The following is a 14,390-nucleotide window of genomic DNA, read 5'->3' as shown; positions in this document are numbered from 1 at the left end:
AGCATGCATGAGCCTGACCTGTAAATTGTAGCACAGCAGAGGGAGGTGGGTCAGAGCACAGGACCCCAGACAAGTTACTTAACTTCTCTGTGCTTCCAAATGGAGGTGAAGGTAGTACTGTCTCAGGGTGTTTCTAGGTATGAACTCAGTCCCATCAAAGTGCTTAGAATAATGCCTGCCACATATTTGTTAAATAAAAATACCGTGTCCAAGGCCCTGTGCCAGCTGCCACAGGGAAGGGTGTGAAACGTCCCTGCACCCCTCCCCAGGTGGGGGGAGTTCAAACAACAAGCTCACCTCTAACCACTCACTCACCACTCTACCAACTTGCCCGTTTACTTATGTCACCCAGCACAGACAGGGACCATGTTTTATGCCTCCATCTCCCATGAGTAGGACAGCGGTGACTCATGATTGATACTCATTGTGTTCAATGTTTGTTGAATGAATAAGTGATACAAGGCATTAAGTCTCAATACCAAGATTTCCTTTTCTACATAACTGACAGATAACACTGCAACCTAAGTCACCCCCTGGTCACTCTGTGACCTTGGACTCCTGCCCCTCTGTGGTGTCTGGGGTCTGATATCAACATGTACAACAGTACTTTGTAAACCTGAAGGCCCTTTAGCAATAGAGGTTACTACAGATCATGTCCTTGGTGTGAGGGTAGTTTCATCTGGGGGACTGACTGCCTCCCCAGGCAGTGGCTTCCTGCTTGGATGGCCTCCTAACATTGTCAGTCCAGCTGCGATATTGCCCGTGCCTGAAGGAACACAGCTGAAGGTAGTTTTTAAAGTTCTCCCTTACTCTGGGGCAGCCCTATTCATTCATCCATTTATTCCTTCATTAGTTACATGTTCTGCCCATCAGAGCCACATGGAACAAACTTAATGCTACTTTGTACCTGATTCTGAGGTTGGATTATCCACACGTCCCCAGGCTAAACATGCCCCCAGACCCTGCAGCAGGCCACAGGACCGAGACACGTGGAATGGTGGACCCAGAAGGGGTGGCAGGCTCATCTGTCCCAACCGCTGAGTTCCATAAGGAAACTAAGACCCAGAACCCAGGAGTCTCAAAGTCCTGCTTTGACCTCTCTTATGCCACATCAGGTCACAGCACAGGCTCAACTGCACTGCCTCCTATTCTACCCTCCAGAAAACCTGCCCTTGGCTCTCTGCCACCTCACCGCTATCTTTCTGAAGAGAGAAAAAAAGTCCAGGCATCGGCGCTTCCTGGGAAAGCTACTGAGCACGTGGCGCAGAGCCATGTGATGGCTTCCCCACCCATTCAGAGAGCAAAAGCTCACCCTTGAGCTCACTGGCCTCCCCAGGCACTTGCCAGCAGTGAGCAGGCTTCCTATGTATTTCTCCTGAGCTCGCCCACATTGCAGGCTTTGTGACTGCAACAAGGGCAGCAGGGAAGCCTCAGACTGCGCCCACCATCCACAGGCCCCCGCCTGGCCTGGGGCTACAACTCCGACCTCCAAAACCCATGGTTGCTGGAAAAATGGCTCAGCAATAACTTGTGTTTGCTTACTGCTGAGATCAAAGTTCTTTACAGACTTCTGAAATCCTGAGGGGTCAGGTGGCTCACAGCTGGGGCACACACACACAGACTGGCGACTTGCCTGATGTCACAAAGCGGGTGGTGAAAAAGCTAGGAAACAGCATCCATCTCCCCTTTCTTACCCTGATTCTTGATCTGTGGTGGGCTCACATTTTTCTTTTCAGTCAAGACATAGATTACAATTACAGCACAAGCCTGGATTTCCTCCAAAGAGGGGCAATGCAGCGGGAGGGGCAGGCAGAAGCTCTAAGTCAGCTGAGCAATAGTGAGCCTGAGCTCTGCTATTAATTGCCAACTGGCCTTGGGCAGGCCACTTAACATCTCCTGAGCCCTGGGTTCCTTGGCCTGACAACAGGAACAAATCATCATAGTGGGTAAAGCCTCCCTCCTCAAAGGGTGGCCACTCTGCATTCCAGGGAACTGGTTAGAAATACAGAATCTGCTTTTAAGAGATTAAGTGACTCTAAATGCATTTACATTTGAGAAGCCCAAATCTGAAGCATTTAGCACAAGCCCACATTCAGACCTCGATTATAAATGTAAGTGCATTTTACACTAGAAAGGGCCTGAGACACAAGCCAAGGTTCTCAGGAGGAAACAGACCCAGAAGGCTGATTAACCCACCGGGGTCAAACGGCTGTCACAGTGGCACCAGCATCTGAACACAGGACTTAAGGCTCTTCCGTACCACAAACCCACAAGGCATGATGCTAACCCAAGTGTTCTCAGAGGCAAAACCCTCATGCTATTTTTTAATAGTACCCTGGGTGGGGCGCGGTGGCTCACACCTACAATCCCAGCACTTTGGGAGGCCGAGGTAGGTGGATCACCTGAGGTCAGGAGTTCGAGACCAGCCTGGCCAACATGGCGAACCCTCATCTCTACTAAAAAATACCAAAATCAGCCAGGCGTGGTGGCGCACGCCTGTAGTCCCAGTTACTCGGGAGGCTGAGACATCAGAATTGCTTGAACCCAGGAGGCAGAGGTTGCCGTGAGCCGCGATGGCGCCACTGCACTCCAGCCTAGGTGACAGAGCAAGACTCCATCTCAAAAAAAAAAAAAAAAGAAAGAAAACGAAAGAAAGAAAAATAGTACACTGGTCACCATGCACCCCTCCCATCAGCACAGTGGTTCACCTGGGCTCAACTTCATGTCCTCCTGGGGAGCTGTCCGCTAGCCAGAATCTCCGGGAAGTAGAGTAACACAGGGCTGGGGCCAACTGCTGGTTGCAAGGAAGTTTTTGAAGTGAATGGAAGCCTTAATGTAGGCCTTATAAATTCACACTCCCTTTCACCTATTAACACCTTCCAGATGCACCATTCACCGCCAGAGCAGAGAAACACGATAGGCATGAAGCTAAGAGGCATCTTCTTGGTTTCCCACCTCTGACACTGCACCTGACAGCAAACCCAGCCTGTTGGCTTCCCAGTGCTGGAGTCCCGTCTGTGAGGCGGGGAGGAACCCAGGCCCACCATCCTGGGTTCCCTGGACACCCCAACAGAATAGAGATGGTGAAATAGCAAAGCTAGGGGATGCAAACGAAGAGGCTAAATTTGGGAGGATAACAAATGGGGTGTTGAATTATACCAGTACGACGGGACAGTTGTATAATACACAAACATTTACAGCCAACAGCTCAAAAATTATCTATGGGCCTATTGTGTGCAAGGCATAGTGACATGGTAGAGTGGCAGAGCTTGGACATCAATGATCCAGGTTCCTATCCTGGCCCAACTAAGTTAGATTATCATATGTGCCTCTCAGTAGCTGGGAGAAATTACTCAACCTCTCTGAGCCTATGTTCTCCTCACCTGTGAAAGAATCTATACTCAGGGTGGCTGTGAGGGCTAAATACAATAGATGTCAAGAATCCAGTCCAGTGAACAGAGGTGGTGTAATCATTGCCTCCACAGGCATTTACTGTGCACCTTGTGCCAAGGCTTGTGCACAGAATTTTCCTCCCTGTGTGTTGTGAAGTTTGGAAGTCCAAGCAATTATTTGTGATTGGTTTTACAAGTGTTCCAATGAAAGTAACCAAGAAGAAAGGGTTTCAAGATTGCAGATTGGGAGACATTCTAATTTTTTTTTTTTTTTTTTTTTGAGATGGAGTTTCACTCTTGTTGCCCAGGCTGGAGTGCAATAGCACAATCTTGGCTCACTGCAACCTCCGCCTCCTGGGTTCAAGCAATTCTCCTGCCTCAGCCTCCCGAGTAGCTGGGATTACAGGGGCACAACAATACACCCAGCTAATTTTTTGTATTTTTAGTAGAGATGGGGTTTCACCATGTTGGCCAGGCTGGTCTTGAACTCCTGACCTCAGGTGATCCACCTGCCTCGGCCTCCCAAAGTGCTGGGATTATAGCCGTGAGCCACCACCACACCCGGCCCGACATTCTAATTTTTATATACCCAAAACAAACCCAATATATAAAACCTCAAATTCATTTTTTTTAAAGGGCAGATTTCAGATACACTGTGGCAACACTTGTCGAAATTTAATTTGTATACAAATCACCTGAGGATCTCGTTAAACTGCAGATCTGGACTCACGTAGTCTGGAGTAGGGAAGAGTCTGCATTTCTAACTGCTCCCAGTGAAGCTGAAGGTGCAAAGCCCACATTCTGGAGCAGCAAGGTGCTATGGAATTCCACTAATGGCAAGAAATGAATCCAAGGAAAATACAATTTGATATGAAAACATCCCAGGAGACCATCCGTGAGGTAACATGTACATGGAAACACACAGGCTAGCAGGGAGGCACACCAGGAAAGGTTTCCACAAATGGAAACCAGAAAAGCTGGCCTCGGGCCTTATTCAAGTGAGTCTGTGCTCTCAGCACACTTCAACTAGGCAGGTGCAAGTACTCTAGTGATAAGACAAGCGGCGTGGTGTTGGCAACAAAGCATCCTGGGATATTTCAAGTCTGCAGCCTCTCCACAGCTAAGCTAGCCTTTCCGCCTTTCTTAAATCAGTGTAACCTATTTTTCCCCTTTGTACCCAAAATTTAAGCTGTTTCTGTTCACAGCTGTAATTTTATAAAAGCCTATCAGGTTGCCAGATACGGATTATTCAGAAATAGGATGAAAGTGACTGTCAGGTAAAGAAGCATCTTCCAGTGATTAATTCATCTTAATGTGTGTGCCGAGGTGAAAAGGATCAATAAAACGCCTAAAAGATTCATATTTATAGGATTGGAGGTGGCGTTCTGGATATTCTTTGGTTCAGAAATGCGAACACACAAGATCTTCCATATCCCCTGAAATGAGTTTCTTGGAGAAAGCGTGCGAGGTAATCTGATCTCCAGCTGCCTTTAGCATGGAGGACACATCTGTCCATCAGGAGACACAAGCCAGCTTTGCACACTGGCTTAGAATAACACGTATGTTTATTACAATTCCTGTCATAACCCTCTTGACTGCTGGGCTTAGGCTGCAAGTCTGGAGTCACCATGAGCCAGTGTGTGATGTCAAGCGGTAATACTGAGCTGCCCAGAAACGCTGAGTTTGCAGGACTCACCCAGAAACAAGGGATACCACCTCCCTGCCCTCACCTGCTGCGGGGGAGATGCATGCTCTGACAAGAAATACTGGAGTAGGGCTGTCACCTGTGCCCAGTGTCGCTAATTCATCCATGCACTTATGAGGCTGCTTCCCCGGTTCCACACCCCTGGCTTGCGGGCCATGCGCACTCAAACAGCGAGGCTACATAACTAGCACCCTCATGATTTCACCCACTTCGGAAGAAGTACACTAGGGGCAAACTTGTGGATGAGGCGGGCCTGTTCTTCCCCCATTTGTCCATTGCGGGAGGAAGTTAAGTTTTCCCATAGGCACCTTCTTACTTGGGCCAGATCAAGCTTTCAGGTAAGCATGATAGGAGAGAGAAATTCTAGCAGAGAAAGTCATTCTTTCCCAGAAGGGATAACTGAGGCCCCAAGAAGTTAAAACAACTTTGTCAAGGTAGGGTCTATGCTATTGCTAACTTCACAAGAGGCCTTATTAACCAACAAGGGAGGGCACTCCCTAGGAACGGATCTGCATTTCCCCACCTGTTCCCGCCTACTCGCCTACTTCTTTTGCAAGCTTCAGTTCACACAGTCCCAACCTCCGACTGCCCCTTAGAATAATACATGGTGACAAACTCTATTTCCTGAACAATAAGCAAACGTCCAGCGTTTCATGTTTTTGCTAAGACGCCTAATGCCGCCAGATAACTTCAGCTAACAAACAAGTAAAACAAGCGTTTAACGAACTCAAGCAAATTCATCTTGGAATAGGAAAAAAATCCCTCAAGCCCTATTTCCTCTTTGTTCCCCACCCCCCTAGGCCTAGTTGGAGGCAATGTAAGAAGGACTTTCCATTGCTCAGGAAAGCAAATGGAAAAAGCCAAGTTTCCCCGGGCCGCAAGAAGACTTGGAGCGCAGGCAAGAACTTCTCCGGAGGGTCACGCGTGTCTGCTACAAGTTCAGGCTCACACGCGCCGCTCAGCTGCCGGCCTGCACTGCTCCACTCTGCGCCCGGCCGAGTCTCGCCCCACGCGGGGAAGAGTGCGCCTCCGGGTCTGGACCGGGTTTCAGGAAGTTTGTGATCTCGTGTGGGGAGGCTCGGACGCCGCTTTCTACTGGGCTCCTGCAACTCCCAATTCCCGACCCACTGCACAAGCGCGGTGCTCCTCTGCGAATGCTGGGCTCGTGCAAACACGTGTAACCCCGCACTCCCTGGGGACGCCCCCTCTTTTGGGTGCCCTCGTGGTTTGGGATTCGGGCCCGGAGCACAGGATCCGGCAGGGCGCGGGAAAATGGGAGCAACCCGTGTCCCGTAGCCCAGAGACCGCGGGGAGGCTGGGAGCGCCGGGCGGGACGCAGGGTTGGGTGCGCGTCGCATCCCGGATACTCACCGGGACCTCTGCAGCTGCTCGAAGGCGCTGGTGCTGCCGCCCTGGCCTGGCTGCTCCAGGGAGCAGTAGTTCTGCGAAGTCGGCCTGGAGAAGGCGATGGGCAGGATTCCCTGAGTGAACGAGTTGAGGCGTCCCCGACTGCCGCTCCCACTCCCGGGGGTCCCGGAGCCCAAAAAGGCGGCCGCCGGCACCTGCACGCTGATAAAGGCATCGTCCTCCTCCAACTCCTCCTGCCCGGCGGCCCCGGACCCGTCGAGCAGCTGCAGTTGGGCACAGGCGGCGAGAGGCGCCGGCCGGGGCGGCTGCCACTGCTCCCCCGACGCCCGGCCGGCGCCCAGGGGACTCGCGAACCCCCGCGCCACCCCGGGGCCGGACACGGTCGCATGGCCGCCAGGAATCAAGGGCGGCAGCGACGAGGGCTGTGGGAGGCAGGGGCCGGACCCAGCGGCTAACCCCGCAGCCGGCGTGCCCGGCGCGGCGAGCGCGATGCAGCCGCCCCGCTCGGCAGCGGCGAGCAAGCTGAACCGAGTCCTCGCGCCGCAGGCGCCGCCGGCGCCCGGCTTGGCCGCGCCGCCCTCCTCGCCACCGCCCCACTCCGCGTCCTGCGGCGGCAGCCGGCCGTCCAGCGAGATGTTGGTGAGGAAGGAGAGGGCAGCCTGGCGGCGCCGCGGGTCCATGCGCGGCTTCCGGGGGGGTTCGGGCGGCGGCTGGGCCGGCGCGGCGGCCGCGGGCTGAGGCTGGGGCTGCGGCGGCGGCTGCTGCAATCCGCTGGCGCCCGCGGCGTCGGTGCCGGCGCTGCCGCTGCTGCAGGCGGCCGTGGTGGCGGCCGCCGCCGCCGCCGCCATTGTGTCCGTCTGCGGCGGGATTTCCGCGATGCCCGGAGAAGCGAGCGGCGCCCGAGCGCTAAGCGGCGGGCGCGAGCGGCGGCGACCCGGGCTGGGTAGGGCGCGGGGATCGGGCGGCGTGCGCGGCGGTCCAGCCCCCCCGCGGGCGGGCCATGCTCGCCCCTCGGTGCTGGGGATGGGGGCGCCGCCGCCCCGGCCCACGCGCACGCCTCGCTACCTAGCTCGGCTAGTTCGGCTCGCTGGCTGGCCGCCCGCCGGTCGCCTGGCCGCTGGCTCGCGGGCTCCGGGGCCGGGTGTCCGTATTTATAGGTGCGCGCGCCCCGCGCTCGCGCTCCAAAGCCCTCTTTGCAATAACACGGAATCACGTGTGGGGAATGCGACCTGGGAGGAAAACAAAGCCGCAGGCGGCGGCCGCAGAGGCAGACGGCGGGAGGCAAGGGGCCACGGGAGGAGGAAGAGGAGGACGCGAGAGCCGAGCGGGTGGTGGGGCGGGGGATCGGCCCGGCTGTCCGGGTTGTCGGAGCTGCCTGCTGGGAGAGTTGGCGACTCCCGGGGCCGCGGAAGCCAGGTGCGGGAGGCGAGCACGTTTCCCCCGCGCGCTCGCACTGGGAATTGGGTGAGCGAGCAGAACCCGGTGGGTTAGGTCCTGGGGCTGTGCTCCTGGGAGAGTTGTGGGTCTACAGGACGGTTATGTGGAGCGTTGCAGAGTTTTGGACTGCGAGCGAGTTACTTGGACCCCGCAAGGCCGTTGGTCCCCGAGAAGTAAATAGATCCTTTTCATAATAACACGGGTAAGTCCACAGCCCCTATGGAGACTGTCCCACCGTAAAGCTATCGCTAACAACCATTGCAGTTGGGTCTATTCATTCCCAGGCCAAGGATGCAGCCCCCGGGATAAATGCACGCCTTGGGATGCATAAGAGCCCAGAAGCACGAACATCTTACATGTGGCCAACGAACTCACGCATCCCCAATCCATGGTATTGTCACTTTTCATCTCTCTCTTAGCAAAGGACAACGCAAATTTTTTACTTTGGCTCTGAAATGTGCTCCATTTTCTGTGAAGACCCAGGTGGGCTAAAATGACCTTACACTCTTTTCCCCTGGTCACCTTGCAAATTTTTGTAGATTATGATCTCTTCTCCCTCATAAACTGGGACCAATGTGGACAGTTACCCTGTCGTTTATCTCATAAGCACGTTTGGCACCTACCATGTCTTCTATAAATACGGGTTCCTGACGGCCCTCCCAGAGCAGTAGCTCTGAATCTGGGAGGAGTCGCAGTCCCCACCCACAACGAATGCTTGTTTTGGTTGGGGGTGGGGGCGGGGGCGGGGACAGGGTGGAGGAGTTCACCTGGAGGGATCTGAAAACGTGTGCGGGTTTCCCCAGGCGGTATGGGCAACTTAACAAATGCAGTAAGGAACAATTGCCACACTGAATTAAGCTCTGTGACACCTAAGAAACCTGCTGCACTTTTGAGGGAGAAGCAATGTGTTTCAGATCAACGGATTAATTTAATTAAAGGTTTAAATTTAGCCCTGGAGCTAATGGGTAACTCTACATTGAAATTCCACTCCATTTCAAGTTCAGGAAAGTAAATTGAGTAATGGAGAGCAAATACACCGTCCAGAGAGGTGCCGCCAACCCGGAGTGCCAGACAGAGAGGGTTTCAGGTTACATTTGCTCAGGACAGAGATGGCACGTGGCCCTTTACATGAACAATCGTTGTTATATTTTATTTTGTGCTGTTTTTAGGCCTTTTGAAAACATGGAGCCTGGTGTCTGTTTACAGCAGCCTCATGTCAGTGGAGTCAAAGCTCAATGGCCAGCTCTGTGAAATTTCACCAGGATTTTAATTATTTTGGCTAACTACCTTGAAACTTCCAAGCCCTTTTATGACAATTGACTTAATTTACATGACCACTGGCCTGGTTGGGAGGCAGTGTTAAGTGAAAGACTCCAACGGTGCTCCTGTAAAATATATTTTCCATCATTCAAAAATGATAAATGTTAATTTCAGAACATAAGATAAGCAAAGAGGAGCAAAAAAAAAGGGGGTATCACTAACAATATCTTCTGTGGAAATAACGTAAAACTTAAATTTTGATTTCTGTTTTGTATTTTCATATATTTTATAGAGAGATATGTATATATATTCTTTTAGCCTGTCACCCAGGCTGGAGTGCACTGGTGTGATCATAGCTCACTGCAGACTCCTGAGCTCAAGCGATTCTCTCTGCCTCAGCCTCGCGAATAGCTGGGACTACCGGCACCCACCACACCTGGCTAATTTTTTTAAAAAAATTTGGCCTGGCACGGTGGCTAAAGCCTGTAATCCCAGCACTTTAGGAGGCCGAGGCAGGCAGATCACGAGGTCAGGAGTTCGAGACCAGCCTGGCCAACATGGTGAAACCCTGTCTCTACTAAAAATACAAAAATTAGCTGGGCATGGTGGTACGTGCCTGTAATCCCAGCTACTGGGGAGGCTGAGGCAGGAGGGCAGGAGAACGGCTTGAACCCAGGAGGCGGAGGTTGCAGTGAGCCGAGATCGTGCCACTGCACTCCAGCCTGGGTGACAGAGCAAGACACCATCTCAAAAAAAAAAAAAAAAAAGAAAAGAAAAAGAAAAAATTTTTTTGTAGAGATGAAGTCTCACTATGTTGCCCGGGCCGGTCTGGAACTTCCAGCCTCAAGCAGTCCTCCCATGGTGGCCTCCCAAAGCACTGGGATTACACGTATGAGCTGTCATACCTGGCCTTGGGTGTGTTTTTAAACAAAAGTGAAATCGGCTGTTTTGTTTTGTTTTGTTTTGTTTTGTTTTTTTGAGACGGAGTCCTGCTGTCTGACCCAGGCTGCAAGCTCCGCCTCCCGGGTTCATGCCAGTCTCCTGCCTCAGCCCCCCCCGAGTAGCTGGGACTACAGGCGCCCGCCACCACGCCCCGCCAATTTTTTTGTATTTTTAGTAGAGACGGGGTTTCACCGTGTTAGCCAGGATGGTCTCAATCTCCTGACCTCGTGATCCGCCCGTCTCGGCCCCCCAAAGTGCTGGGATTACAGGCATGAGCCACTACGCCCAGCCAGGCTGTTTTGTCTCTTGTGATTTTTGCCTGCTGTGTTGTGATTATCTTTCCATGTAGAATATTTTTCTGCATGGAAGAATTTTTATTTTAATGACTACATAGTGTTCAATTTGATGGAGAGACTGTACACTTTTAAACCTGTGCATTTAATAAATTTGTGGTTTCCACTTTTGCTCTTATAAAGCAATGATGACTTCCTTTGTTTTTCTAAATCTTGCTACCACCCAATATTATTTTCTTAGGTTAAATAGATGCTGGGGCAAATGGCATTTCGTGTTTTTAAGGTTTTCATCCTTAAAGGTTGTTCAGTCTGCTTTCTTACAATTTTGCTGGGTATTGAAATGTTTCTATCATCCCCCCAAAATATTTACAACCATGATACATCGATTAAAAAATACCAAAAAGTTTCCATCAGTATGCATTTTTTATAACCTTCATTTTCTATAACCTTTTGTCTACTGTAAGTGTGAAGTATGAAACGAATTTCAAATATTTATTAAAGCATCAAACAAGAATCAATGTCTAATCTCCAAACTGCCTCTGTGACCCCCTTTTGGGGATCTTGAGATATGGTTTATTGTTCACCTACTGTATGCCAGCCACAGAGTATTTCTAATCTTTATAACCACCCTGTGGTGTTGGTGAGAGCATTATCATCGATATTTTACAGACGAGGCTCAGAAGAATTAAATAATTTGCCCCGACTCATCTACCTCTTAGCTGGGGTGGGCCAGTATACAAACCTGACTCGAAGACCCATGCATCTTCTTGCGCCCTCTGCTGGTGAAGATGTTTAATGGTAGAGAATAGTGTCCAGATTTACTCTTACATCCATACTTGAGGTCAACTATTACGGAATAATACAAGCTTTGGAGTAAGAGGATCTGGGTTTCAAGAGCAAGCTACTTACCCTCTCTGAGTTAGTTTTCTCTGTGGGTTATTGTTAGGTACAAATGAGACTACCTGAGGAACATTTTACAAACTTTAAAGTACTTTTTAAAATGTCCGTTGTTATTTATACCATCCTAATCTACTTAGTCCCTGAATTATTCCAAATTCATTTATTTTTCAACTACTTAGTCATTGATCAAGTTTTACCAAGCAACTTCTACATCCACAGTACCATCTGTGACAAAGGGATAAAAAGAAATGTGGCCCTTAGCCCTTGTGACCTTGATAGTTACAACCATGGAAAACACATTTAAATGAAAATGCAAAGCCAACCCTGATTAAGTTTCAAATGCGCAACTGGACTATAAGCATTATCAGAATATGGAAAAGAAGTTTTTTGTTTTTTTTTTTGAGACGGAGTCTCGCTCTGTCGCCCAGGATGGAGTGCAGTGGCACAATCTCGGCTCACTGCAAGCTCCACCTCCCAGGTTCACGCCATTCTCCTGCCTCAGCCTCCCGAGTAGCTGGGACTACAGGCGCCCGCCATCACGCCCAGCTAATTTTTTGTATTTTTAGTAGAGATGGGGTTTCACCGTGTTAGCCAGGATGGTCCCGATCTCCTGACCTCGTGATCCGCCTGCCTCGGCCTCCCAAAGTGCTGGGATTACAGGCCGACCGGAAAAGAAGTTTTTTATTTGCAGTGTGGGGGAAGGCCTTAGGCAAGAGCCAGGATTTGAGCTGATCTAGGAGATTCAGGAGGCCAGGAGGAGGATCCTTGCAGAAGAGGAAGTTTGGCATACAAATTCCTCATGCATAGCAGGCCTGGAGGACTAGAACTTGAAACGTGATTCTACTTGGTCAGCCACGTTCCCCCTTCTCCCCCTTCCCTTTTATATTGCCCCTTTCAAGTGCCCATTCTGAAACTTTGTAGCACACATGAATTCAAAATGCATGTACTGTTTTGATGGAGACATATTGGAGGTTAGTTTTTAAAAAGAAAGGAAAAAACAACCTACATGTAATCACTGGCCCTTCAAAAAAATAATTCAGCAGACTGAGAAGTCTGAAAATTAGCTTAGGCTCCTAGAAACATGCGACCTTGTAAGGTCTCCAGTTTGTGGATATTACAAGCTTTGTTCCTTGGTGGCCTCACCTACCTTATCTATGGATGAAGGTAGGTTTTGCAATATTTTACCTTGCAGGGTTGTGAGGGTTACCAACAATATAAATTATGTAACTAGCAGAGTACCTGTAGTTCAGTGGGTAGCTATTATTAGAAAAATGCAAAATACAGAAGGTGAACATTAAAAAGGCCAGAATATTTTAGGTTCTAGGTTTTTATAGTTTTCACTGATCCTGAGACCAGTGAAATATTAGCATGCCTTTCCAGGCAGGAACATGAGAAGCTTCAGCTGTTAGCTCCTGCTTAAATCAGATTATTTTACGGTATTTTCCATGAAAGTACAGGCTGGCACTGGACTGTCGATCTAACAGGCATAGTCTCCCTGAGAAACCTGCTGCTTTCCTTAATCCAATGAAAGTTAAATCCTGGCTAGGCGCGGTGGCTCGTGCCTGTAATCCCAGCATTCTGGGAGGCGGAGGTGGGCGGATCATGAGTTTGGGAGTTCGAGACCAGCCTGACCAACATGGTGAAACCCCCGTCTCTACTAAAAATACAAAAATTAGCTGGGCGTGGTGACGCGTGCCTGTAATCCCAGCTGCTCAGGAGGCTGAGGCAGGAGAATCGCTTAAACCTGGGAGGTGGAGGTTGCAGTGGGCTGAGATCACGCCACTGCACTCCAGCCTGGGCGACAGAGTAAGACTCCGTCTCAAAAAAAAAAAAAAAAAAAAAGAGCTGTATGCACAGAGTTCAACTGGTCCCCAGCCTACCCCCTAGAATAGAGGCTTTTTCAACTTTTGTCCCCAGGGCCAGCCATCTAGGACACCCTCTTCTCCCTACACAGGAGAAAATGCCAAGGGGACATGGTGTCCCTGCTACTTCCTGCCAAAGTTCTGTCCTTCAAGTCTCCTCTTCCTGCCCGAGAACCTGCCCTTCTCTCAATGATTGGCACCAGCAGCCCCTGATACTGTCGTATCATAGGCCCAGACAGGATTCTTTTTGTCTCTGGACCTCTGACACTATGTGGAAGAAAGAGGAAGAGTGATATTTTACTGCAGTTCCTTCCAGCTTTTATAACTTGTGTGAGAAGCCGAGAGAAATAGGCGATGGGGCATGTCCTTGGGACTGTAGGGATGGTCATATAAACATGTGTCACTCATTATCAAGGACAATAGTTCAAGCCAAGAATGGATGTAAGTACCTCGTCAATCTGGGAAGAAGTGTCAATGTTCCAGATAACCCTTCCTCATCTCCACTGTCTTTTTAGAGTATATATCCAAAAACAATAGTGCAAATGCATTTATTCTTCAAGTTTCCTCTGAGTCATCAAAAGTCTCCCTTCCATGCAGCTCAGCCAATCATGGAGGAGAAGGGGAGGCATTGGGAATGGAATGGTCCATTCAATAAGCTCTCCAAAAGAACGTCCTGTGCGGCACAAGGGTGCGGCTTGGGTTTGTCGATCCAACTTATCACTAGCTCTGGGACCTCTAGGTTTCAGCTTCTACATCTTCAGACTAGAGCAAATCCTATCTACCTCACATGGTTATGATGCAGATTAGAAACAAGGCCTGCATAAAACTCCTAGCAAGTGTTGAGTACACAGTGGGTACTCGTGAGTGGTGGATATTACCATGATTCAGAGGCCTGCTATTGACACTGAACCCCAGAGGACCAAGCTGCTCAGCAAGTGAGTGGTAGACGTCCTGTGACATTTTTAATTTTAATTCTTAGTTTTGAGACGGGGTGTCACTCTGTCACCCAGGCTGGAGTGCAATGGCAGGATCATGGCTCACTGCAGCCTTGAACTCCTGAGCTCAAGCGATCCTCCCACCTCGGCCCCCCAAGTAGCTGGGAATACAGGTGTGCACCACCATGCCTGGCTAATTTTTGTATTTTTTGTAGGGACAGGGATCTCGCTCTGTTGCCCAGGCTGGTCTCGAATTCCTGGCCTCAAGCCATCCTCCTACCTTGGTCTTCCAAAGT

At 50.3% G+C, this 14,390-nt stretch overlaps 1 protein-coding gene across 3 annotated transcripts in view, besides 10 other annotated features; it reads right to left on the bottom strand.

Moving 5' to 3' along the window:
* Positions 1-8,512, bottom strand: part of CABLES1 (Cdk5 and Abl enzyme substrate 1) — a 125,907-nt gene extending 117,395 nt beyond the window's left edge. The window contains exon 1 of one of the 3 annotated variants that reach the window (NR_023359.2): positions 8,425-8,512. Coding sequence is in view for 1 of the 3 variants with exons in the window: in NM_001100619.3 (NP_001094089.1) it covers positions 6,469-7,313 (845 nt within the window). In the remaining 2 variants the exon portion in view is untranslated. Of the gene's footprint in view, positions 1-6,468; positions 7,592-8,405 lie in introns of those variants that run through there. The other 2 variants (NM_001256438.1, NM_001100619.3) reach the window with 2 other exon arrangements.
* Positions 6,073-6,162: a silencer, noted in NCBI's record as "silent region_9354". NCBI's record gives its function as "represses an Ori minimal core promoter by ATAC-STARR-seq in GM12878 lymphoblastoid cells {active_cell/tissue: GM12878}" and the evidence as "EXISTENCE:reporter gene assay evidence [ECO:0000049][PMID:35858748]".
* Positions 6,263-6,332: a silencer, noted in NCBI's record as "silent region_9353". NCBI's record gives its function as "represses an Ori minimal core promoter by ATAC-STARR-seq in GM12878 lymphoblastoid cells {active_cell/tissue: GM12878}" and the evidence as "EXISTENCE:reporter gene assay evidence [ECO:0000049][PMID:35858748]".
* Positions 6,723-6,972: a silencer, noted in NCBI's record as "silent region_9352". NCBI's record gives its function as "represses an Ori minimal core promoter by ATAC-STARR-seq in GM12878 lymphoblastoid cells {active_cell/tissue: GM12878}" and the evidence as "EXISTENCE:reporter gene assay evidence [ECO:0000049][PMID:35858748]".
* Positions 7,073-7,282: a silencer, noted in NCBI's record as "silent region_9351". NCBI's record gives its function as "represses an Ori minimal core promoter by ATAC-STARR-seq in GM12878 lymphoblastoid cells {active_cell/tissue: GM12878}" and the evidence as "EXISTENCE:reporter gene assay evidence [ECO:0000049][PMID:35858748]".
* Positions 7,413-7,622: a silencer, noted in NCBI's record as "silent region_9350". NCBI's record gives its function as "represses an Ori minimal core promoter by ATAC-STARR-seq in GM12878 lymphoblastoid cells {active_cell/tissue: GM12878}" and the evidence as "EXISTENCE:reporter gene assay evidence [ECO:0000049][PMID:35858748]".
* Positions 7,743-7,822: a silencer, noted in NCBI's record as "silent region_9349". NCBI's record gives its function as "represses an Ori minimal core promoter by ATAC-STARR-seq in GM12878 lymphoblastoid cells {active_cell/tissue: GM12878}" and the evidence as "EXISTENCE:reporter gene assay evidence [ECO:0000049][PMID:35858748]".
* Positions 8,243-8,392: an enhancer, noted in NCBI's record as "active region_13144". NCBI's record gives its function as "activates an Ori minimal core promoter by ATAC-STARR-seq in GM12878 lymphoblastoid cells {active_cell/tissue: GM12878}" and the evidence as "EXISTENCE:reporter gene assay evidence [ECO:0000049][PMID:35858748]".
* Positions 8,583-8,692: a silencer, noted in NCBI's record as "silent region_9348". NCBI's record gives its function as "represses an Ori minimal core promoter by ATAC-STARR-seq in GM12878 lymphoblastoid cells {active_cell/tissue: GM12878}" and the evidence as "EXISTENCE:reporter gene assay evidence [ECO:0000049][PMID:35858748]".
* Positions 8,703-8,792: a silencer, noted in NCBI's record as "silent region_9347". NCBI's record gives its function as "represses an Ori minimal core promoter by ATAC-STARR-seq in GM12878 lymphoblastoid cells {active_cell/tissue: GM12878}" and the evidence as "EXISTENCE:reporter gene assay evidence [ECO:0000049][PMID:35858748]".
* Positions 11,057-11,351: a silencer, noted in NCBI's record as "tiled region #2996; K562 Repressive DNase unmatched - State 12:CtcfO". NCBI's record gives its function as "represses a minimal TATA promoter and a strong SV40 promoter by Sharpr-MPRA in K562 cells {active_cell/tissue: K562}" and the evidence as "EXISTENCE:reporter gene assay evidence [ECO:0000049][PMID:27701403]".

This window comes from Homo sapiens, chromosome 18, assembly GCF_000001405.40.
Source record: "Homo sapiens chromosome 18, GRCh38.p14 Primary Assembly".
NCBI lineage: Eukaryota > Metazoa > Chordata > Mammalia > Primates > Hominidae > Homo > Homo sapiens.
This window is presented reverse-complemented; position numbering and strand designations above follow the sequence as displayed.